The sequence below is a fragment of the Homo sapiens genome, chromosome 14, assembly GCF_000001405.40.
Source record: "Homo sapiens chromosome 14, GRCh38.p14 Primary Assembly".
Lineage (NCBI taxonomy): Eukaryota > Metazoa > Chordata > Mammalia > Primates > Hominidae > Homo > Homo sapiens.
The window spans coordinates 20,885,191-20,909,952 of NC_000014.9; the positions used below are offsets into that span (position 1 = coordinate 20,885,191).

Below are 24,762 nucleotides of genomic sequence, written 5' to 3' on the forward strand. Positions count from 1 at the left end.
ATGGACAACCAAGCTTGTTCCTCTTAAGGGAAGGATGTGAGCCAAATAGGAGATTCAAAGAGATGGAGTAAGGGATGATGCTCCATGAAGGAAAATATCCGGGTTTCAAAGGAAGAGCATGTCTTGACAGGGTAAGAGACCAAGAATCCCTTTGAAGAAAAGGTACCATTTACTAAAAAATATCAGTCATAGTGACTATAGGTGAGAAATAAATGAACGCTCACAAATTGAGAAATGTAGGCAAGTAGGCTATTGACTTCGGCAAGCCCGACTCTCTATCTCAGGGTTTCCCAGACATCAGGCATCCCTGGACCATGCCCCCATTCCATTTGTACTATTGACTAATATTATCTGTTTTATTCACTCTTGCATTTATACAACATGGTCCTAAGCAATAATATAGATAACATTATGGACTAATGTGTTAATTATTCACTCCCATTAAAAGAAACACATAACAGTGAACAATTTTTACTATTTACGTGTACTTTCTAACATCAGTCACTTCACTTTCCACCTGTTGTACATATTTCATAATTTTGTGTTCAGTTTCATCTATGGCTGTAAATTAAACAATTCTACCTTGGAAAATATTTTCACAGAAGAATAAAGGATCCAAGGACAGTCGAAAAAAAAATGAAGCTCAAGGTCAATGATTTGGTCAAATTCATCAAATTCTGTACAAAACAGAGACTAAATCATGCAGGTACTATACTTTTATCATGAAAAGGTGCTCTAATTATCTGCTAAGGCAGTTCCTTAAATTTACCACCAAATTGACAGAAGATATAATTTTTATGATGATCTATTTCCCTTTGTTCTGACTTCACAAGTAAATGCAAGATGTTAAAAGGTGATTTATTCTATCTCAGTTTGTGTAAGGGTCCCTGAGAAACAGAGGTCCTATCAAAATGACTTGCTGTCCACCTAAGAAGCACTTGGTCAAAAACAGACAAAACCCTGATTTCTAGTTCTAATGCCTTCACTCTGGGGAGTAAGGAAAGGAAACAAGCATACTCTATTATTGCAAACACCACAGAGGGGATAGTGCAGTAACGGATACTACACTAACACTTTGATGCTTAAGACTGATTGTCCTTATCAAGATTTCTTTTTCCTTTTGCAATATTTTATGCTACATGTTTCCTTATTTCGTGCACACACACACAAATTACCACATTAAATTTCCCCTACAAACCAATGTATGTGTTGTTGTATTTTACAGATTATGAAACAGAGGCATAGAGAGAATGAATAACCGTCCAGTTCTTTTTTTTTTTTTTTTTTTTTTTTTTTTTGAGACGGAGTCTTGCTCTGTATCCCAGGCTGGAGGGCAGTGGTGTGATATCGGCTCACTGCAGCCTCTGACTCCCGGGTTCAAGCAATCCTCCTACTTCAGCCTCCTGAATAGCTGGGATTACAGGTGCACACCACAATGCCTGGCTAATTTTTGTGTTTTTGGTAGAGATGGGTTTTTGCCATGTTGGCCAGGCTGGCCTCAAACTCCTCACCTAAAGTGATCCCTCCGCCTCTGCCTCCCAAAGTGCTGGGATTACAGGTATGAGTCACCGTGCCTGGCCCTGGACAACTCTTACAGTAAGAGTCTCAAATGGAAAAAGTCAAGAGCTGGCCGAGCGCAGTGGCTCACGCCTGTAATCCCAGCACTTTGGGAGGCCGAGGCGGGCAGATCACGAGGTCAGGAGATCGAGACCATCCTGGCTAACACGGTGAAACCACGTCCCTACTAAAAATACAAAAAATTAGCCGGGCGCGGTGGCGGGCGCCTATAGTCCCAGCTACTCAGGAGGCTGAGGCAGGAGAATGGCATGAACCCGGGAGGTGGAGTTTGCAGCGAGCGAGATTGCGCCACTGCACTCCAGCCTGGGCAACGGAGCGAGACTCCGTCTCAAAAAAAGAAAAAGAAAAAGAAAAAGTCAGAGCTGGTATCTGGACAAGACTATACATAATCTATACCTGACATCACTGTGACACAAAACTCATATGACAACTTCATTTACAGAGACACTAACCTATATAATAATTCATTTCCTGTGAGCTCTGAAATCTCAGCAAATGCATCTATATGCTCAAAATGCAATGGGGATAAAGAGAGGTGGCTTAATGGGTACAAATATAAGAAATGATATAAAAAATAAGACCTGGTGTTTGATAGATCAGGAGGACGATTATAGTTAGTGATAATCTACTGTGCACTTCAAAATAGCTAGAAGAGAATAATTTGAATGTTTCTAACGTAAAGAAGCAGCAAATATTTAAGGTAATGGTTATCCCAATTTCCCTGATGTGATCTTTACATATTATACGAATGTATTAAATTATCACATGTACCCTGAAAATATGTACCCCTATTCTGTATCAATAAACAGAAATAAGGCCAGGTGCAGTGGCTTATGCCTATAATCCAATTATTTTGGAGGTCGAGGCATGCAAATCACCTGAGGTCAGGAGTTCAAGACCAGACTGGCCAACTTGGTGAAACCCTGTCTCTACAAAAATACAAAAATTAGCTGGGTGTGGTGGTGCACACCAGTAGTCCCAGCTGCTCGGGAGGCTGAGAAAGGAGAATCCTTTGAACCCAAGAGGCGGAATTAGAAGTGAGCCGAGATCGCGCCACTGCACTCCAGCCTGGGAGATAGAGTGAGATTTCATCTCAAAAAAAAAAAAGAAAAAAAAAGAAATATTTTTAAAATATGCAATGGTACATGAATGCAATTTTCCAGTTTCCTAGGAAACACCCTTTCTTTCATCCCTCCTAAGACACACCTCTCCATAATTCCACCTGAGCTCTGTTTCCATTTCTTCCCTTTCCAGATAGGGAAAGAACTTCTTATAGTTGAGGAAAAAGAAGAAAGGCTTAGTCCTTTCCTCTTTCATGCCAGAAACTTGATCAAAGGTGTCAGATCTACTTATTCAATGGTTTTCAGAGGAGACATGCAGGAGGACCCACACAAGAAGGAAGGCCTAGGGCCACCTTTCTGAGGTTCAAGAGACCAGGAAGAGCTCAGTACACCAACTATCTTTAGAACTTAGGTAAGTAAAATATTACTCCATTTGCTGCAATTTAATTAACCTGCACCATATTATTATGACAATCTTGTATTACTTTTAATGGCAAAAATCGCAATTACTTTTGCACCAACCTAGTAAATAGTGTGCATTGTCTTTCCCATAGATAGCCACTGCTGCATTAGGGAAATCTGTGTGCAGGAAGGTATCGATGGTTTGGTACCTCCCTGTCAGCAGGTTAAGAGCAAATATTGCAAGGGTACCCTGGGGCTGAAGAAATTGCAAGCATTGAACATTATATTTTTGCACATAAATGCTATGCAAAAAAGACATTGATCAATGCAGTGTACTCAACAGTGGTTTTTACCACAAATGCAGAAGTCTTTGTCTGGGATAATATTTTACAATGTTCATCGGTTTCCAAAAAATGACTTAACACTAGGGCGTAATTCTGACTATTCCTCTCATTGGAAGTGTGGATCAGGTCTGAAAATGTGTCGTTAAATTAGGCTGCAAGACAAGTTATGCTAATAAAATAAAGAGCCCGGGTGAAGTGCCTTGTGTCTGTTCAAGACAAAATCATGCTGAAGTTACAGAGAATTTTGTTTCGATTACAGAGATCATAACAGATAATTTTCTTTAATGTTGACTTATACTTTATTCCTGCTTCATATAAAACATCTTCTCTCAAAGGTCATAAATATCAAAGTAGATCATTTGTACTACTTCTGCTGGCAAATGAAGGTAGTTGGAAATGTACGCAGGAAATCTACACAAGGGACAATCAGAAAAACCTTATGAGCATGTTCTGAATGCAATTTTTATGGCTGGGAGCAGTGGCTCATACTTGTAATCCCATCACTTTGGAAGGCCGAGGTGGGCGCATTACCTGAGGTCAGGAGTTTGAGACCAGCCTGGCCAACATGGTGAAACCCCGTCTCTACTAAAAATACAAAAATTAGGCGGGCATTGTGTCGAGCGCCTGTAATCCCAGCTACTCAGGAGGCTGAGGCAGGAGAATCACTTGAACTTGGGAGGCGGAGGTGGAGGTTGCAGTGAGATCACGCCACTGCAGTCCAGCCTGGGTGACAAGAGCAAGACTCCGTCTCAAAAAAAAACAAAAAACAAAAAACTCCACAATTTTAAAGGATGAATATGGTTGCAAATTGGGCAGGTTATGGTCTGCTTAAGACACTTCAATAAGTCTGATATGTCATAAGCACAGATGTCTTCAGGAGCCAGGCAGGTGTCATCACTGAACAGATAGGATAAAAGTCAGGAGGGAGAGTGGAGTCAGAGAACAGCCCTGAGCTAGAGCCCCTTCCACAGACGCAGCTGTTACTCAGCTCTAATTGATACAACACCAATGGTGCACCAACCACCATCATGTGATTTTTAAAGATAAGACAGTAATGAAAACTTTTAGTGAACTATTCCAATGTCAAACTTTATCTTCCAAACCAAACATCATAAATAGCACTGTGTATGCTGAAAAGAAGCACTGTTTAGCCAAGTACCTGCCCTGGGGCTGCAGTCTATGTCTTTTGCCTCATACTATAGACACTTAAGTGCAAATGTTTCTAGCCAGTGTGGCTGTCAGCATCACAGAGGGGATACTCTACGTATCATTCACCTTTACATTCTCATCACCTACAAAAATGATCTCCACACAATATACATGAAAAAATAAACTTGCCTCATGATAAAGCTGCTAATGAATGTCGGCCAGAACAGGACTTCAAGGCAGAGCAATATTAGCTGCGCATTGAGTCCTCACCAGGTCACCATTGTGTCCACATTTACCTAAGGACCCCAGTGATAAAATTATTGCATTTCTAAATGACAGGAAAATTGGACGGTAGTAAAAATTAGGCAGATTAACTGTTGGAAGGTATATTATATCATTTAAGGGTCTACTTTCCATTTTCTAATCTCAAAGCTAGACCAGATTTAACATCTGTTAGTACCCAGGCCTTACCTTTGCAATTCACTTCTCACCTCTGTACAATTTCCCCACATCATCCCCTGTGCCCAGAATGCTCATCTCTTCTCTAAATCCCCTGAAAATCCCCTGCTTATCCTTTAGGACCTGCTGAAATAAACTTTTTTTTGAAGTTTTCCTTATTTCTCAAGCCAAGTGATTTCCTTCACCAGCAGTGTCCCTATGACACCATGTTCACACAAATGCTATTACCTCTATCACACTGTAATACAATTATATGTCTACAAGTACTTTCCTGTGTTTCTCTGAGGGCCAAGAATAAATGTATGCTTTGTGTATCAAACTGTACACTTGACCTCTATACTTTCAGGAATACAGTGCTCTGTCCTTAAATGTTCATTTGTAAATACAGAACCATATTCTTGTTAATATCACAAAATGAAACTTACCAGGAAGATGAATGACAACCCCAGAACACACTGTTTTGTAGAAAATACCATAGGCTGAAAAGATCACAGGAATACCGAGTGCTAGGTTGGAATCTTTCATGACACCAAATGTTCATTCATCCTCTGCCAGATTTTACAACTGTCCTCGGTGTGTTTTTAGGTTATGTAACTTTACACAAAGTGGAATCAATAATCAGGGCAAGACTTAAGAGAAAGTGGATCCAATGCAAGAGGAGTAAAGAAAAAAATTCCTCAATTGTATGGAGCAGATTGTTTTAATTATCTACAGAATCTTGTGCCCCAAGAAATTAATAGCTCAAGTTTCCAGCAAGAGTGGTGGATGAGATGGAGAGCATTTATGTGAGAGAGAACCAAGGATATTACTAAAAATGGAAGGGAAGCTGGGTTTCTCCTGGGCAAACAGCCCTCTGTGGCTCTATTTCTCCTAACTACTATGCCTGCCTTCGTGTCATTTAGTCATTTAGGGGCCTGCCAGAGGACAGTTATAAAATCTGTGGTCATTCTGCCGGCAGCGTATAGTTTTCACCCAGAGTCCAGATCCCACCGGCAAAACTCTGTCTAACACAGGATGACTTGGAATTAGAGTCCGTATAGCAGAAAGAGCAGCAGGGCTGTCCTTGGGTATCCGTTGCTCAGCCAAGTCATCAAATAAAAAGGATGATTGCACAAGTGGACCATGTGTCAATCTGTGGGTTTCTGCATGGCCAGACCCACCAAGGGAAGCTTTATTTAAACAGTTCCAAGTAGGGGAGACCAGCTGCCCCTGAACCCCAGAACAACCAGCTGGATCAGTTCTCACAGGAGCCACAGCTCAGAGACTGGGTAAGTCAACAATCCCCAGAGCTGGGACAGGAGGGGCAGCGACAGGGCAGCACCTGAGGGAGAGGTGAGCTGAAGTTAGTGCTTAGGAGATGTGGCACACTTTGGGGACAGGAAGAAAAGGAAATGCGACCCCAGAGTGGCAGCAGAGGGGCCTGTGGGTTGAGACACTATAGAGTGTGTCATAACCGAGACCGGATCGGGGAGTAGTTACTTCTCTTCTTTTCTTACAGGAAACATGGTTCCAAAACTGTTCACTTCCCAAATTTGTCTGCTTCTTCTGTTGGGGCTTATGGGTGTGGAGGGCTCACTCCATGCCAGACCCCCACAGTTTACGAGGGCTCAGTGGTTTGCCATCCAGCACATCAGTCTGAACCCCCCTCGATGCACCATTGCAATGCGGGCAATTAACAATTATCGATGGCGTTGCAAAAACCAAAATACTTTTCTTCGTACAACTTTTGCTAATGTAGTTAATGTTTGTGGTAACCAAAGTATACGCTGCCCTCATAACAGAACTCTCAACAATTGTCATCGGAGTAGATTCCGGGTGCCTTTACTCCACTGTGACCTCATAAATCCAGGTGCACAGAATATTTCAAACTGCACGTATGCAGACAGACCAGGAAGGAGGTTCTATGTAGTTGCATGTGACAACAGAGATCCACGGGATTCTCCACGGTATCCTGTGGTTCCAGTTCACCTGGATACCACCATCTAAGCTCCTGTATCAGCAGTCCTCATCATCACTCATCTGCCAAGCTCCTCAATCATAGCCAAGATCCCATCCCTCCATGTACTCTGGGTATCAGCAACTGTCCTCATCAGTCTCCATACCCCTTCAGCTTTCCTGAGCTGAAGTCCCTTGTGAACCCTGCAATAAACTGCTTTGCAAATTCATCTGGAAGTGTCTGTGTGTCTTCCTCGGCCGCTCTGCTGTCATTTAGTGACAATCTGCTCTAGAGATTTGGGTTTATCATGAATCTCTCCCCCTCAATATCTGACCAAATTCCTTAATTCCCCCATCATCCTTCATGTGATACCTGATTCCAGGCCTGCCTTAAAAAAAAATCCAATTGAGTCAACTTAGCATTGGTCTCCCTAGCCTTAATATCTCCTCTAAGCAATTTTCCATCCACTGACTCCTCCCCCAACACCAACCTATAACTTGTGTATAGATCTCCACTTGTTTTAGTTGTATTCCAGAATTGAGCCCAATTTGATATTGAGGTCCCATTTGATGCTTTATGGTCCGACTATGGTTTTTATTGACATGATTTCTATCCCAAGAAAAAAAGAGCTGCAGTGAATCAGCTGAAAATGCACGTGCTTCATTATGATTTATGAATGATAAATTTTGATAGAATTGAACGTTATGATAGAAAATAGAAAAGAAGAAAGTAGAAAAAGTCAAGAATGCTATAAATAAGGTGAAACCAAGATAAAGAAAAGTTTAGCCTCAGGGATATTTCTTTTAAATGGGCACATCAAGTCTCCAGCTATTAGCAATCGTAATAGAGGTGGAACCAGGGTTTGAGTCAAATGTGCAATAAGATAAATTGTTCCGACAGCAGTAAGGACAGATTGTAATGCTGACTGGAGGAGAGGTGGACATCTTTCCCAAAAGTTCCATGTCCTGGAGATGGGGAGCCGCTGGTCACGTGGGAAGGAGAAGGGGGAGGAGGAGGAGGAGGAAGTGGGAGCACTCATGAAGGTGAGTTGGCTCCTGCCCATTCTGCCCTCCATAGATGTTCCCAATGGCGAGTCAAAGGTTCATTCAACACCTGTCAGGAAGGGCACAGCCTCGAGAATTCAGGATTTGTAGACCCAGAGAGAGAAGAAATGGATGATGAGAGCCGCTGCCCTGGACTCCAACACAGGGCTTCACTCAGGAATCCATGAGAAACAGGGGAGAAAAAGGGGAAGCCCCTTCCTGCAAGTTGTGGACAGGTGCAGCATTCAAGTGATTGTTCCAGGAACAGAGTGGGTCTTTTTGAATGGCCCGACTCAGAATGCAAGAGAGGTACGATGCCATCAGATCTGCACCTTGGTCCTTCAGTCTGAGATTTCTGACTTCTATATTTCTCCTCCTCTTCCAGACCCTGAGAAACAGCAATTTCCATTCCTCAGATGACTCCATGTCAGTAATGGTGCTTTAATTGGCATCAGACAGCAGCTGTATTGAAGTCTCTCCTCTGGAGAAGCTATTGAGATCTTGCTTCTCCAAGGTCGGGCTGTGAACTTAAAAGTTTGCACAGAGACACTGAGTTTGGGAAATCTCAGTGCTCAACAGAATCCACTGACTCTAGGTAAAACAGGGCATGTCAGGAAGTGAGTGCAGTCTTCCCATAACCTCAGAGTAGCAGAAGGAGAAGGTGGGACTCTGAAAGCTGGAGCCACGTTTCCTGTGAAGAAAGATGGAGTGGACCTTCCTTGCTTCAGGTACCAGATCACAGGTCTCTTCTCAGTCGGGGATGCCTCATCTCTAAAACCACAGGATAGAGGGATCAGTCCCCACCTGCCCCCACACCCTCTCCACCTTGTGACTTCATCCTCTCTCGTCATTCATTCCTTCGTTCATTCATTCATCCAGCAGTCATCTACTGAGCAGATACCTTGCTCCAGGCACAGTTTGAGGGAGTGATGATGCAACACAAACCAAGACAGGTCCCTGCTCTTTTGAGGCCACATTATACAAGGATAAAAATAAACATACAAAATTGTTCTAAGCATACAAAATTTTGCTAAGTGTCAGGAGGAAAAATACACAGCATAGTACACAGAAAATTACACAGAGCAGCACAATATAGAGGTTCTGTATGTGCCACAAAAGTGACAGGGCAGAGTGTCACCAGGAAAGACTTATCTCAGAGAATGAAATCTGAACAGGAGGAAAAGCAGCCAGTCATGCAGACACCAGATGGAGAATCATCCCAGCAAAGAGAAAGAGAGTTCAAAAGTCCTGACAAATACCAAGGCTGTAAGAAGACTTTTCGTTCTGTGTTTACGATAAGTTGATTAAAACATCTGAAGGAGAATGACTACCATTATTCGCATCTTTGTATGTATTTATTCCTTAATGTAATAAAACATTTTCAGTTTTAAAAAATGGTCCTGAATGGATAGAGGTTTGGCGTGTTAGAAGCACAAAAGTTGTTTGGTCAGGACAAGATCATCATAGCCATGAGTGTTAATGATAGGAGTTAATGAGGTTCAGACCCTTCATGCCTGTGAAGATGGAAGAATAAAGTAAGTTCCTCATGGGGCACAAATCGAGCATGTTACATGCAAGAATAACATTGCCTAAAGATCTGTCCAGCTGCTGTGCAAAACACAACTATTTGGGAGACAAGAGTGGAAGCAAGGCCCCAATGAAGGACCACAAGTTGAGGGAGAGGGAAACAAGAGTCTTCCAATCTCAGTGAATCTCACCATCATCCTCTCATGGTGCAGCCCCATGCTATTCCCCTCCCTGTTGCCATGGCCTCTCTCCAGCCCCTCCATGCCTTCCACATCATCTTCCTGCCATCCCCATGCTGATGACTGGGCTGAGGTCAGAGGCAGCTCCCCTCTCCCAGGACGTGAGACGATTCAAACAAGACCAAGGAGGATTCTGTGCTTGACCATCAGGAAACCCTGGCTGGACTCACTGCCCCTTCTGCAGTAGACATCCAAGATTTTCTGATTGCCCTGGACCCAAGGCCAGCACCACAGAGACTACCATTAGAGAAGTTAAGTGGTCACATCCGCATGTTCCAAAGACGTGATCCTTGGAGTCCACTTCTTTTCCTTGAACCTCCCATGTCTGATTTTATAAAATTCTCTTAATATCAAATCTTCAGGAAGTCTTGCAGGAGTAAATGCCGTTAATTGTTCTGTAAGCCGGCAGGGAGGGTCTCCAGGAATTGTAAGAATTTAATCAACTTGAGCAATCAGCCTGTTTTACAAGCTTGCTGGTGGGAACCAGCTCCTGGCATAACCCAGCAACTTACAGACAAACTGGCATGAACATTCCTCATTATCATGCTAAAGTCTCCACCCAAGGAGGAGGCTCATTACCATAACATGTGAACTATGTGCTGGCAGAATCACTCACTGTGTATGGGCAACTGGGACTCCTCCTCTACAAGTGATGATACACCCTCTGCCCTCTCCATCACCACATAGAATGTTCTTCTCACTTTCCATCAGGAAGACACTGCTTTGGAGAATACTCCCAGTGGGCTTCTTACTTGAACCAAGTAACAAAACTTATTTATCAAAATGTACATTCTCATAGAGAGTCTTTGTTACTCACCAGGGAAACAAGCCCTGGTTTTTTCAGCTACCAGCTCTAACATATTCTGTAAAGTCCAGCACAGAAGGAAGGTTAATTCACAATGCTATTGCTTTCATTTTATTTCACTTTTTAATAATTGGGTACATATCAGGGCAGATGTCTTTAGGTGGGGGTTGAATGGAAGGTCAAGGAGACAAATCATCAACCTTGGAAAGATATTCTTGCAGAGATTATGACTACACTTGGGATTCATGAATATGAGACCCCACCAGCAAAGTAGCCTGCAATGTTCAAGGATATCCAAGTAGATCAAGCATTTTAATGAGAAAACGATAGGCTTTGTCTTTCAAGATGTCCATGAATTGACTTTCCAAAAGGGAAAGAAGGACCCATTTTCAGGGCAGAAGAGAGAAGAGGAGAGGGGTTTAGGCTAAACATTGTAATCAATTTTGCCTGATAATGACTTTTTGTTTCTTGGTTCATTTTTATTTATTTATTTATTTATTTATTTATTTATTTATTTATTTTCCCAGGCTGGAGTGCAGAGGTGCAATTTCGGCTCACTGCAGCCTCTGTCTCCCAGGTTCAAGCGATTCTCCTGCCTCAGCCTCCCGAGTAGCTGGGACTACAGGCATGCACTGCCATGCCCAGCTAATTTTTGTATTATTAGTAGAGACGGGGTTTCACCATGTTGGCCAGGCTGGTCTCAAACTCCTGACCTCAGGTGATCTGCCCTACTCGGCCTCCCAAATTACGAGGATTACAGACCTGAGCTGTCGCACCCAGCCTCTTAGTTCATTTTTAGAGATGAGGTCTCCCTATGTGGCCCAGGATGGATTTGAAGTTGTGGACTCAAGCAATGTTTTTGCCTTAGCCAGCCCAGTAGTTGGGTCTATAAATACACACCACTGAGCCCAGATGATACTCTCATTTTATGAGCTGTGTTTCCACTCTGATTACATAAGGAAGTGAGGCAATTAGTAGGGATAGGAGCATAGAAATTCTGTCTACATTCCTATTTCAAATTACCTATGAAAAACAGACTTGTTTCTAAACTAAAACTGGATTTTGGTTAATAAATGTTTTTCTTTATTAAAATGCATTAGACTTATGACAGAGTTGTCACTTTTGTCTCACGTCTGATCTACAATGATTTCAAAAGAAGATCAATTGACTACTTCAAAATTCTCATTGTTTCAAAGATATTATGGATGTAAAACTGGGTGATCTGAGATAATTTAGCATATAGGGCCAGCCAGGTTACCCAAATGAATATCTGGGAAACTGAGTACATTACATGCTTATCACACATCTCCACTGATTTAGAAAATATGACTGTATTAGTCAGAGTCATCAAGAGAAACATTGCAGATGTAGGTAGAAAGAGACAGACAGAAATATAGATACAGAAGGATTTATCATGAGAAATTGGCTCAGGCAATTATGGAGTCGGTGAAGTCCCACAATCTGCTTTCTGCAAGCTGGCAGACCCAGAAAAGCCAGTGGTATAATTCGGTTCAAGTCCTAACGCCTGAAAAACAAGGGAGCCGATGACATAGATGTCAACCCAAGTGTGGGAACGATGACACAAGATGTCCTAGCTTAGGAAGTGAGGCAAGAAAAATGATGAATTCCTCCTTTCTCCACTTTTCATTCTATTCTGGCCCTTAACAGATTGGATGATCCCCATCCAGACTAGCAATGCAAACTACTTTACTTAATCAACCAATTCAGCTGCTAGTCTTATAGAAACACCCTCTCAGACACACCCAGAAATCATTAATTATTTAATTAATTATTAATCTGGGCACCCACAGGCCCAGGCAACTTGAAATATAAAATTCACCATCATGATGACCTATGGTTTCCAAGGTGCACCAGTAGATGTTACCAAAATGGCACCACCAGCCAGAACCCACATACATTCACCAGGTCAGTGCACTTCTCAATTCGCCGGAGATTCATTTTCTTCTGTGACATCACGTTCACCTGGAGTGGAGCCAAGAACCAGGCCACAGCTAATAATGAGAAAGAAAGGATTCTTTATTTGCTTTTTTACAAATGAGAGAAAAATTTGCCAAAATCCTTTGGTAATAAGTAGTTATCTCAAAGACAAAGAGACTCAAAATGAAAATGAAAAAAGTCAGTTACCCTTCCCACTGCCCATGTTCTTCCTCCACATATAAAAATAGGTATTAAGTTCACCCTTTCTGGTATTAAGGACTAGAGTCTAACCCAATAACTCTGAATCTGAGTGTGCAGATGTTACCAGATTTTTCATTACAGAAAATGACAGAGACGTTCTTCCACTACAGTAGCTATTTTGTGGTGACAACTTTTACTTTCCCAGGATTCCTCGGTTAAGTGACACACACGGGCAACTGGAAGTATTTACTGTTTTCACCCACAGCTTCCACACTTCACAGATGTGCAGGAGCTTCAGTACAGCAGTTCCTAGGAACATGGATAGGACATGCGTGACTTGTTAACCACAATGCAATAGCAAATATATGGGGTTCGGTGTTGGTCTTTCATTCGGAATATACAGTTCAGAATTGTTTAAAATAGTACATTTAGAAACAAATAATATATCCTGCTGAACTGGTTAAATTGGATTGTATATCTTTACAATGGAATTTTATGCAGCATTCTTTTAAAATTATACTTTAATTTCTAGGGTACATGTGCACAACGTGCAGGTTTGTTACATATGCATACATGCGCCATATTGGTGTGCTGCACTCATTAACTCGACATTTACATTAGGTATATCTCCTAATGCTATCCCTCCCCTCTCCCGCCAGCCCACGACAGGCCCCCGGTGGTGATGTTCCCCTTCCTGTGTTCAAGTGTTCTTATTGTTCAATTCCCACCTATGAGTGAGAACATGCGGTGTTTGGTTTTTTGTCCTTGGGATAGTTTGCTGAGAATGATGGTTTCCAGTTTCATCCATGTCCCTACAAAGGACATGAACTCATCCTTTTTTATGGCTGTTATACAGCATTTTTTTAATGCAAAAAAGTACGGTTGATCCCTTGCTACTGGCATGGAATATTACCAAAATATATTGTTAATGAGAAAGAGGAATGCTGTAGGCCACTGTAGTAATCTGCTCAGGCTGCTATAACAAAATACCACAAATGAGTAGCCGAAACAACAGAAATTTCTTTCTCCCAGTCGAGGAAACATCAGCTCTTCTCCTCCATACTCACACTCACACTTCCGGCCACCAAATACGGGAGGGTGCTTTCTTACAGGAACTGATTCCAGCTGCGTATCCTACAATTCAATTCGATTGTGACACTAACTGGAGTGAATGCAGACCCCACAGGTTAAGGGCTCCGTCCCACAAGACTATCAGTATCAAGAAGCAGATCATTATCTGTGCTTTTGACCAATGAACTATAGTTTGGAGGATCCCGTGACTTCCTCCTCAGTTTGATCATTTGCTAGAATGGCTCACAGAGCCCAGGGAAACACTTTACTTAGGTTTACACATCTATCATAAAGGTATACTAAATGTACACACAGGGAGATAATGGGGCAAGGCTTGGAAGGGTCCTAAGTGCAGAATCTTCTGTCCCTGTGGAGTTGGGGTGTGCCACCCTCCCAGCACAGGGATATGTTCTTGTGTACTGTATTGATCTGTTGTAACACTGCTATAAAGAACTACCTAGGGCTGGGCATGGTGCTCATGCCTGTAATCCCGGCACATTGGGAGGCTGAGGTGGACAATTCATAAGGTTAGAAGTTCAAGCCCAGCCTTGCCAACATGGTGAAACCCTGTCTCTATTAAAAATACAAAATTAGCTGGGAGTGGTGGCACACACCTGTAATCCCAGTTACTTGGGGGTGCTGAGGCAGGAGAATCACTTGAACCCAGGAGGCAGAGGTTGCAGTGAGCCAAGATCATGTCATTGCACTCCAGCCTGGGCAAAAAGAGCATAACTCCATCTCAAAGAAAAAATAGAAAACTACTTGAGACGAAATAATTTATGAAGAAAGAAGTTTAATTGACTCACAGTTCTGCAGGCTGCACAGGAAGCATGGCTGGGGGGCCTCAGGAAACTTATAATCATGGCAGAAGGGTGATGGGAAAGCAAGCACACCTTCACATAGCAGCAGGAGAGAGTGAAGGGGGAAGAGCTATACACTTTTAAACAATGAGATCTCATGAGAACTCACTCACTATAACAAGAAATTGTATAGTAGGGGGAAATCTGCCCCCATGATGCAATTACCTCCCACCAGTTCCCTCCCCCAACATTAGTAATTACAATTTGACATGAGATTTGGGTGGGGACACAGAGCCAAACCATATCATTCACCAAATCCGGAAACTTACCAAAGTCTCTCTCTCTCCTTTTGGGGTTTATGGAGGTGTCATTACGTTGGCATGACTGATGAAATTATTCGCCACTGCTGATCAATTTAACCTTCAATCCCCTTTCCAGGGGGTTAGCTAGGGTGGGAATGGATGTTCTAACCCTCTAATCACTTGCTAGAGTCTGCTGGCAACCAGCCCCCATCCTAATGCTACGCAGGTGCCACTCGTCTCATTAACGTACTTCATGAGGCACTTATTCAGAAATTAGACACTTATTCAGAAATTTTAAGAGTTTTAGGGGCTCTGAGTCAGGAAACAGGCAGGAACATTAAATATATGCTTTATATTTTTTTAGAGATGGGATTTCACTCGGTCACCCAGGCCAGAGTGCAGTGGTGCCATCATAGGTCACTTTAGCCCCCACCTCCTGGGTTCAAGCCATCCTTCCGCCTCAGTCTTCCAAGTAGCTGGGATTATAGGCTGCAGCCACCATGCCCAGCAGTTGCATTTCTCATTATAAATCACAATATCACAATCACAGCTCTGGACACTGGGAAGTTCAAGATGAAGGTTCTGGCAGGTTCAATTTGCAGTGAGGTCTCCCTTCCTGGCTTGCTGACAGTTGTTCCCCCACCACTGTGTCCTCACATAGGCAAGGAAGGAGTAAGCTCTCTGGTGTGTCTCTTGTTTTTTTGTTTGTTTGTTTTTTGTTTTTTGTTTTGTTTTGTAGAGATGGCATCTTGCTATATTGCTGTATTAGGCTGCTCTTTCATTGCAATGAAAAAATTCCTGAGATTGGGTAACTTATAAAGAAAAGAAGTTTAATTGGCTCATGGCTCTGTACGATGCTCAGGAAGTATAGCCCTGGTATCAGCTTCTAGGAAGGCCTCAGGAAGCTTATAATCGTCGCAGAAGATGAAGCAGCAACAGGCACTTCATATGGGGAAAGCAAGAGCAAGAGAGAGTTGGAAGTCGTAGGGGGAGGTATCACAACTTTTAAATGACCAGTCTCAGAAGAACTCACTCATTTTCTCCAGGACAGCACCAAGGATTTGGTGCTAAACCATTCATGAGAAGTTTGCCCCTGTATTAGTTCTTTCTCACATTGTTACAAAGAAACACCTGAAACCGGGTAATTTATAAAGAAAAGAGGTTAAATTAGCTCTCAGTTCTGCAGAATTTACAGAAAGCATAGCAGTTTTTGCTTCTGGGGAGGCTTCAGGAAGCTTCCAATCATGGTGGAAGGCACAGGGGGAACAGGGGTCTGACATGGCAGGTGCTGGGGCAAGAGAGCAAGGGGGAATGTACCACAATTTGAACAACCAGATCTCACGAGAACTCACTCACTATCAGGAGAACAGCACCAAGGGAATGGCGCTGATTCACGAGAAATCCAGCCCCAAGATCCAATCACTTCCCACCAAGCCTGCCTCCAACACTGGGAATTATATTCCAATATCACATATGGATGGGGCAAATATCCAAACTGTCCCAGTTGCCCACAATGATCTTGAGCTCTTGGCCTCAAGTGATCTTCCTGCCTCAGGTGCCCAAAGTGCTGGGATAACAAGTGAGAGTCACCAACCCAGCTGGTGGTGTCTCTTTTTATAAGGATACTAATCCTCTTGAATCAAGGCTCCACCTTTATGACATCATTTAACATTAAGTTTATCCTTATAGGCCCTCCCTCCAAATACAGTGACACTGGGGGTTAGGACTTCAATATATGAATTTTTAAGGGACATAATTCAGTCCACAGTAAACACTATATATAGCATATTACTGTCTGACAGGGAAAAAAGAGGAATTAACACAGAAATCTATGAAAATGAGAAAAAGCCTTATACGTATTATTCATATATGCTTAGACTCAGCATATGCATTATAGAAAGGGTACTAAAAAACTGAATAATTATTCTTCCTAGAATACAAATCTAGCTTCCATAAAGAAAGGTAAATGAAGACATCCTTTTCACTAGATACCATTTTTAATTATTGAATTTACATTTTCACCATATGAATGTATATGCATTCTATATATGCACTTACATATGTATGCACGTACTTATGTGCATATATCTATATATGTAGAGATGTATACATTTGTTAACCACAGACTCCCTACTACTAGAACATTCAAACAAAGGAGATGTAATCAAGTAAAACTAAAAGAACCATAACAAGGCAGCACTGGATGACCTGGAAGGCTGAGGGTCACTCAGCTCGCCACCCCTCACCCCCCAGCTGGGAATCAGAGAGTGATGGAGCTATCCCTCACTCCACCTCCTGCTCTCTTCCTTCTGCAGTCCAGCCACCTGGTCACAGAGTGAGGCTCTAAACTGGCCCGTATTACATGTGTCTGTCCCTCCCCTTCTCACTTTGGAGGAAGAGTGTGACTATCCCAAGTCAGCACGTAGAGTGAGACAGAGCGTGAGACCTGCTAGCTGAGGAACCGTAAGAACCTTGTGCTTTGAAAGCCGATCTGCTTTGTGATATTGAAATCCTCCGAGTCCATTCTCTCATTATTACAGGAAAGGTGTGTAAAATATCCAGGTCATGTCACTACAGGACAAAAGCTCTGGATGTTCAGCCATAATCAAAGCTCTTGAGATCCAGCAATTTCCTTGAACAATTTTTCTACCACACACACTTCTCAAAATATAGTGCATACCCATATTTAGGATTGTGGTAGAGGGCCATTACATGATCTTGACTGTATCAATAAAAGTCTCAGGGCAAAACTCTGGGGGATTCATGCAGATGGCCTACCATTTGGATGTGGAATCTGAGCAAATCATCCTAACATTCTGCTACCCATCTCCAAAAATGGGCTTCAATAAAATGGCTATCTCAGACACTTTGCAATCTATGAGTCTGCAATGAAGAATGAATGTGTGTGTGTGTGTGTGTGTGTGTGTGTGTGTGTGTGTGTGTTTTAAAGAGGCATATATGTGGTTTACTTGGTTTATGTATATGAGTTACTTGATTACTTATAAGGGAGTATTCTGAATAATGGATTAATTGAATAAATGAAATATAATTACACCATGTACAAAACTTTACATAGTTTTTTCTGCTTGATCATTATTCCTGTAAGTCTCCATAGTAATATCTAATTGTATTTTTAGTGAAGAAGCTATTTTGGTCTGACCTTCAAAACTGTCTTTGCATTTGGGTAGGACAAAAGACTAGCAAAAAAAAGCCTGAGGGATTATCTTAAGTATTCTTAGGATTTAGTGTTCTTCAGACTATCTGGGTTAGCTGACTTGTGAAAAAACTAATAGTTCACTCCTCAGTATTTCTGGAACAGGAAGGATTTTTCCTCATGCCCCCAACTGCCTCTAGCCAAATAAAAAAGCAAGAGGACAAAATTCTTTAAATATTAAAAGGAAGTTATGGGTAAGCAGTGACATATAGAGACATATAGAGACATATAGATGAGCACGTAGTTCATCAATTTTGTCTCCCTGGGATATTCATAATTAATCCCTAATGACTAATAGCCAATCTTCTATAATAATAAACTATATAATCAAATATTATACACAAATTCATTCATAATGTTCTCTGCCAGCATGTAAGTGGCACACCTAAAAAACTTCAAACATTAAGTATTTTCCATTTGGATCACATGGGGGAAGTTTTGCACTATGGATTCGTGAGCTCCATTCCAGATATACTCACACAGAATGTCTGCACATGGAGCTCAGGATTCTGCATTTCCAATCACATCCTCAAGTAGTTTTCCAACAACCTATCTCCAGCCCAACTTTGAGATCCATTTGTTACCAAACATTGACTTCAGAAGCCTTCATGTGCATCGGAAGTAATCTTGGCGTAGGGAAATTCCGAAGCACAGGAGGCAGCGATACCATTTGCATTATTCCTGAGATGATTCTAGCTACATACACCTATTATCCAGCATTTATGTCTTGATTTGAGGCTTCTATTCAGTTGACCCTATTGATATCCAAGTGTACACAACTGACCTGTCAGGCTATAGCAACACTCTTCACTTATATGTAGGGAGAATTTGTACAGGGCTTAACTGAAGCTCATCATGGGGTATGAATTGACTTGGTCTCATTGCTGTAACCCTTGGGTTCAGAAGACACTGAGCAAATGCTTAAAAAACTCTTTTGGGTTAATACATGAAGAGATATTAACTCCTCAGATAGCCAAAGAATCAAGGGGAAGGGGTAAAAGAGGATGGCCATATAGAAGTATCCATTGATTTCACCCCCACACATACCAGCAGAAACACCACATTTAACAACTATCTACACACAAAAAAGGACCTACATAGGAAATAAAAATCAGGTCAACCATCATTGTACCTGATTTTAACTTCGTATCACTGAAAAAGGCACTGAAGAGATGAGGAAAGACAATTTTGAATCACTGAGGCCACCACTCCCCCATGTCCCAGTAGCTGCCACTGGAGCTGAGACAGAAACTCAGTGCATGGGGGAGGGAGAGTGCAGCAATTGTGAAAATCTGCATTGAACTCAGTGCTGCCCTGTCAGAGCCCACCCACAGAGGGAGCATTCAGACCAACCTTAGCCAGAGGGGAATCAATCGCCTATCCAAGCAGTCAGTATGTGAGTTTGGGAAAGCCTTGCCAAAGCAGGCTAAAGTGCTCTGGGGTCCTAAATGCATTTGAAACTCAATCTAGGCCACAAGAACTACAACTACAAGGCAAGTCCCAGTGCTGTGCTGGGCTCAGAGCCAGTGGACTTGGACACCACTAGTGTGACACTTGTCAGGGCAGCTAAGGGAGTGCTTGCACAACCACTCCTCCAACCCCAGGCAGCACAGCTCACAGCAGTGAAAGTGACTGCTTCCTTCTGCTTGAGGAAAGGAGAGGAAAGAGTAACTAGGACATTGTCTTACATCGTAAATGTCAGTTCAGCCACAATAGGATAGGGCACCAGTCAGAGTCATGAAGCCACCATTCCAGGCACTCGCTCCTGAAGGACATTTCTAGACACACCCTGCACCAGAAGAAAACCCACTGCCTAGAAGGAAAGGACCCAGTCCTGCCAGGATTCATCACCTGCTGACTGAAGAACCCTCAGGCCCTAAATAACCAGCAGCAATACCTAGTAGTACACTCCATGGGCCTTGGGTGAGACTCTGAGATATGCTGGCTTCAGGAGAGACCCACCATATTCACAGCTGTGGTAGTCATGAAGAGAGAATCCTTCTGCTTGAGAAAAGCAGAGGGAAAATAAAGGGGACTCTGTCTTGCAGCTTAGACAGCAGCTTAGCTACAGCGGGGTAGAGCACCAAGCCAGCTCTTGGAGTCCCCAGTTCCAGATCTTGGCTTTTGGTTGGCATTTCTGGACATGCCCTGGGTCAGAGGGGAGCCTACTGCCCTGAAGGGTGAGTCCCAGGCCAGGCAGCATTCACCACAAGCTGGCTAAAGAACTCTGGGGCCTTATGGGAACACTGGCATCATCCTGTCAGTATTCCCCTTGAGCCTGCGGTGGAGGTAGCTGCAGGGAGAGGCTCCTCTGCCTGTGGAAGAGTAAGGGAAGAGTGGAAGGACTCCAGCTCAGCCACAGTAAAACAGAACACCATGTAAACCTCCCAGGTTGTTTACTTCAGTCCCTGGCTCTCAGACAGTACCTCTGGACATGCCTGGGCCTAGAGGAACTCATCACCCTGAAGGGAAGGACACAAGCCTGGCTGGTATTGCCACCTGCTCTAGGGCCTTGTAGAGCTCTAGGGCCTTGAGTGAGGCCCTCACTTCCAAGAAAGAAATAAACTCTTTTCCACTGCAGCTAAACTGTAAAGCTCATAACACAAGTAGATCCTCTGTGCATATTCACTTCCTTTCCTTCTTACGCAAGGTGCTACAGTGTGAATCTGAATGTGGCAAGTTCAACACTAAAGTCCTGGAGTGCAGGAAAGTTATGGTAGACTCAGAAATCTGTTCTTCAACATTTAGACTGTATTTATGATGGCTGAATTTTCTGTCTAGTCACCTATGGTCCTCTACCTGGGCGACAGAGTGAGGCTCCGTCTCAAAAAAAAAAAATAGTTTAGCATGCCAAAGTACCATCCTTTGGAGTATAGTGTGCTGAGCCCCAACAAAAGCCATGAGATTAGATATGATCATGAAGAGAGTGCATGAGTCCATAGAAAAGAAAGAATAGCTAACCCCTAGGAACCTCCACCATCAAGATGCTGGAGAGAAAGGGGAAGAATTAATGAAGCAGACTGAGAACATGAGTCCAGGGACTTAGAAGAAATGATCAGGAAAGGGTGGGGTGTTGTAACTCAGCACACATCCTTGACAAGACTGTCTGCCTTGAGGGCACCAGGCCTGATCTCACCAGACTTTTCATTCTGTTTCTGTCACAAGAAGATCATTCTCAGGTCAGCTTCATCAAGGAGCAGGGAGAAATCAACTCTGTCAAATGCTGCTGAGCATGGAAAGTTAACACTGTCAGGGGAGAAATGTCTTACTCCAAGTGCAAACCTTCCCTCATGACCACTGCTGATGGGGTGGAAGAGTCTGGGCAATTCATTGAAGAGGTATCCAAATTTCTGGGTCTAAGGAAAGACAATCTTACCAGGAGGTGAACAGGAAGAGGGTCCACATGTGAGTCACGTTTTCATCTCAGTGGAGGGAATAAGGCAAAGGAGAGTAGGGTTTCTGTGTCTCAATGCCCGGAGATATTGTTCTCCTTTTAACCATATCCCAGACCTCAGTACTTCTCACATTTGTCTCCATCTCTCTTTGCTCCTGTAAGGACCCATCTGAGCAACTCACTTCACCACATCATCCTTCATTCATCTCCATATCACTCTCTTTTCTTTTCTTTTTCTTTTCTTTTCTTTTCTTTTCTTTTTTTTTTTTTTTTTTTTTTTTTTTTTTTTTTGAGACTGAGTCTTGTCTTCTCACCCAGGCTGGAGTGCACTGACGTGATCTCGGCTCACTGCAACCTCCACTTCCCAGATTCAAGCGATTCTCATGTCTCAGTCTCCTGAGTAGCTGGGATTATAGTTGCCCCACATCATGCCCAGCTAATTTTTGTAGAGACAGGGTTTCAATATGTTGGCCAGGCTGGTCTCGAACTCTTGACTTCGAGTGATCCACCTATCTCGGCCTCCCAAAGTGCTGAGATTACAGGCGTGAGCCACCATGCCTGGCCGCAAAAAGATATTTTCTAACATTCAGTTCTATCAATTTGTTTAGTGTGCTTAACAGATGACTCTACCATTACTCTTCCTCAGCTGGAAAGTGAGGGGTGTGGTATAAATGTCTTTAGGAGTGCCTTACAGCTCAGACTATTTAGAAATCTGATACTCTGGAGCATAGGTATGGGTGTATGCCTGTGTGTGTGTTTGTGTGTGTGAGTGTGTGTGTGTGTGTGTGTGTGTGTGTGTAGGAAAAGATGTAAAGGAAATTTGGTTGACATCTGTGCATCATCTGTCTATGTAAATCTGATTTTCCTAAATCATTATTAATTTAGGCAGAAAAAAGCATAATTCTCTGAAACAAAATTATTATATACAATTACATCATTATTTTTAAACTATGCAAAAAAACATGCCTATAATCGATTTTATTGTAGAGAAGATGTGAGGTCTTGTTATTTAGAACTGTTATTTAATGGAGCAAGATAAAACACTAGCACAAAGACTATGTGATAATTTCAAGCCCCTGAGAGCTAGATTAGAGGACTAATTTTGTGTTCAGTTTCATGTAGAGCTATAAATTAAACAATTCTACCTTGAAAAATATTTTCACAGAAGAATAAAGGATCCAAGGACAGTAGGAAAAAAATGAAGCTCAAGGTGAATGATTTGGCTAAATTCATCAAATTCTGTACAAAAAAGAGACTAAATCATGCAGGAACTATATTTTTATCATGAAAATGCTCTAATTATTTGCTAAGACAGTTCCTCAAATTTAGCACCAAATTGATGGAAAATATAATTTTTATGATAATCTATTTCCCTTTGTTCTGACTTCACAAGTAAATGCAAGATGTTAAAAGGTGATTTATTCTATCTCAGATTGGGAAGGGTCCCTGAGAAACAGCGGTCCTATCAAAATGACTTGTCCACCTAAGCAGCACTTGGTCAAAAAGAGATAAAACCCTGAGTTCTATTTCTTATGCCTTCACTTTGAGGAGTAAGGAAAAGAAACAAGCATACTGTCTTATTGTAAATACCACAGAGAGGATAGTGCAGTAATGGATACTACATTAACACCTTGATGCATAAGACTGATCATCCTTATCAAGATTTCTTTTTCTTTTTGCAATGTTTTATGCTACATATTTTGTTATTTCATACACACACACACACAAATTACCACATTAAATTTCTCCTACAAACCAATGTATGTGTTGTTGTTTTTTACAGATTATAAAACAGAGGCATAGAGAGGACGAATAACCGTGCAACTTTTTTTTATTTGTTTGTTTTTTTTAAGAGACAGAGTGTTGCTCTGTCTCCCAGGCTGGAGGGCAGGGGAATGATATCAGCTCACTGCAGCCTCTGACTCCTGGGTTCAAGAGATCCTCCTACCTCAGCCTCCTGAGTAGCTGGGATTACAGGTGCAAGTCACCATGCCTGACTAATTTTTGTGTTTTTGGTAGAGATGGGGTTTCATCATGTTGGGCAGGCTGGTTTCGAGGTACTCGCCTGAAGTGATCCCTCTGTCTAGGCCTCCCAAAGTGCTGGGATTACAGGCTTGAGCCACCACGCTTGGCCCTGGACTACTGTTATAGTAAGAGTGTCAAATAGAAAAAGTCAGAGCTGGTATCTGGACAAGACTATACAAAATCTACACCTGACATCACTGTGACACAAAACTTATATAATAACTGCATTTACAGAGACACTAACCTATATAATAATTCATTTCCTATAAGCCCTGAAATCTCAGCAAATGCATCTATGTGCTCAAAATGCAATGAGGATGAAGAGAGGTTGATTAATGAGTATAAATATAAGAAGTGATATAAGAAATAAGACCTGGGGTTTGATAGAACAGGAGGATGGCTATAGTTAATGATAATCTACTGTACACTTCAAAATAGCTTGAAGACCAAAATTCGAATGTTTCTAAAGTAAAGAAAAGTCAAATATTTAAGGTAATGGATATCCCAATTTCCCTGATATAATCTTTACACATTATATGACTGTATTAAATTATCACATGTACCCTGAAAATATGTACCTCTCTTATGTATCAATAAAAAGAAATAAGGCCAGGGGCAGTGGCTCATGCCTGGCTGAGGTGTGCGGATCATCAGAGGTCAGGAGTTCAAGACCAGCCTGGTCAACATGGTGAAACCCTGTCTTTACTAAAAATACAAAAATTAGCTGGGCATGGTGACGTGCACCTGTAATCCCAGCTACTCGGGAGGCTGAGGAAGGAGAATTGCTTGAGCCTGGGAGGTGGAGGTTGCAGTGAGCTGAGATCTCACCACTGCACTCCAGCCTGGGTGAGACTCCATCTCAAAGAAAAAAAGAAGGAAAGAAATAAGAAAGAAAGAAAGAAAGAAAGAAAGAAAGAAAGAAAGAAAGAAAGAAAGAAAGAAGGGAGGGATGGAGGGAGGGAGGGTAGGGTAGGGGAGGGGAGGGGTGTGGAGAGGAGAGGAGAAGAGAAGAGAAGAGAAATATTCTAAAAACATGCAGTGGTACATGAACGCAACTTTCCAATTTATTCGGAAACACACTTTATTTCATCTCTTCTAAGACACACCTCTCCATAATTCCATCTGAGCTCTATTTCCATTTCTTCCCTTTCCAGAGAGGGAGAGGACTTTATAGTTGAGGAGAAAGAAGAAAGCCTTAGTTCTTTCCTCTTTCATGCCAGAAACTTGATCAAAGATGTCAGATCTACTTATTCAATGGCTTTCAGAGGAGACAT

At 42.3% G+C, this 24,762-nt stretch overlaps 1 protein-coding gene and 1 long non-coding RNA gene across 2 annotated transcripts in view, besides 1 other annotated feature; one reads left to right on the plus strand and one right to left on the minus strand.

Moving 5' to 3' along the window:
• LOC100507513 (uncharacterized) overlaps positions 1-24,762 on the minus strand; it is a 66,589-nt gene that overhangs the window by 14,956 nt on the left and 26,871 nt on the right. The gene's annotated exons all lie outside the window — the stretch shown is intronic.
• On the plus strand, positions 6,195-7,158 carry RNASE3 (ribonuclease A family member 3). Its single transcript, NM_002935.3, has 2 exons — positions 6,195-6,261; positions 6,492-7,158. The coding sequence occupies exon 2, from the start codon at positions 6,497-6,499 to the stop codon at positions 6,977-6,979; it is 483 nt and encodes a 160-aa protein (NP_002926.2). The 5' UTR covers positions 6,195-6,261; positions 6,492-6,496; the 3' UTR covers positions 6,980-7,158.
• Positions 19,180-19,681: an enhancer, noted in NCBI's record as "NANOG hESC enhancer chr14:21372529-21373030 (GRCh37/hg19 assembly coordinates)". NCBI's record gives its function as "activates a minimal SCP1, AML or CMV promoter by ChIP-STARR-seq in naive H9 embryonic stem cells {active_cell/tissue: H9 hESC(naive)}" and the evidence as "EXISTENCE:reporter gene assay evidence [ECO:0000049][PMID:30033119]".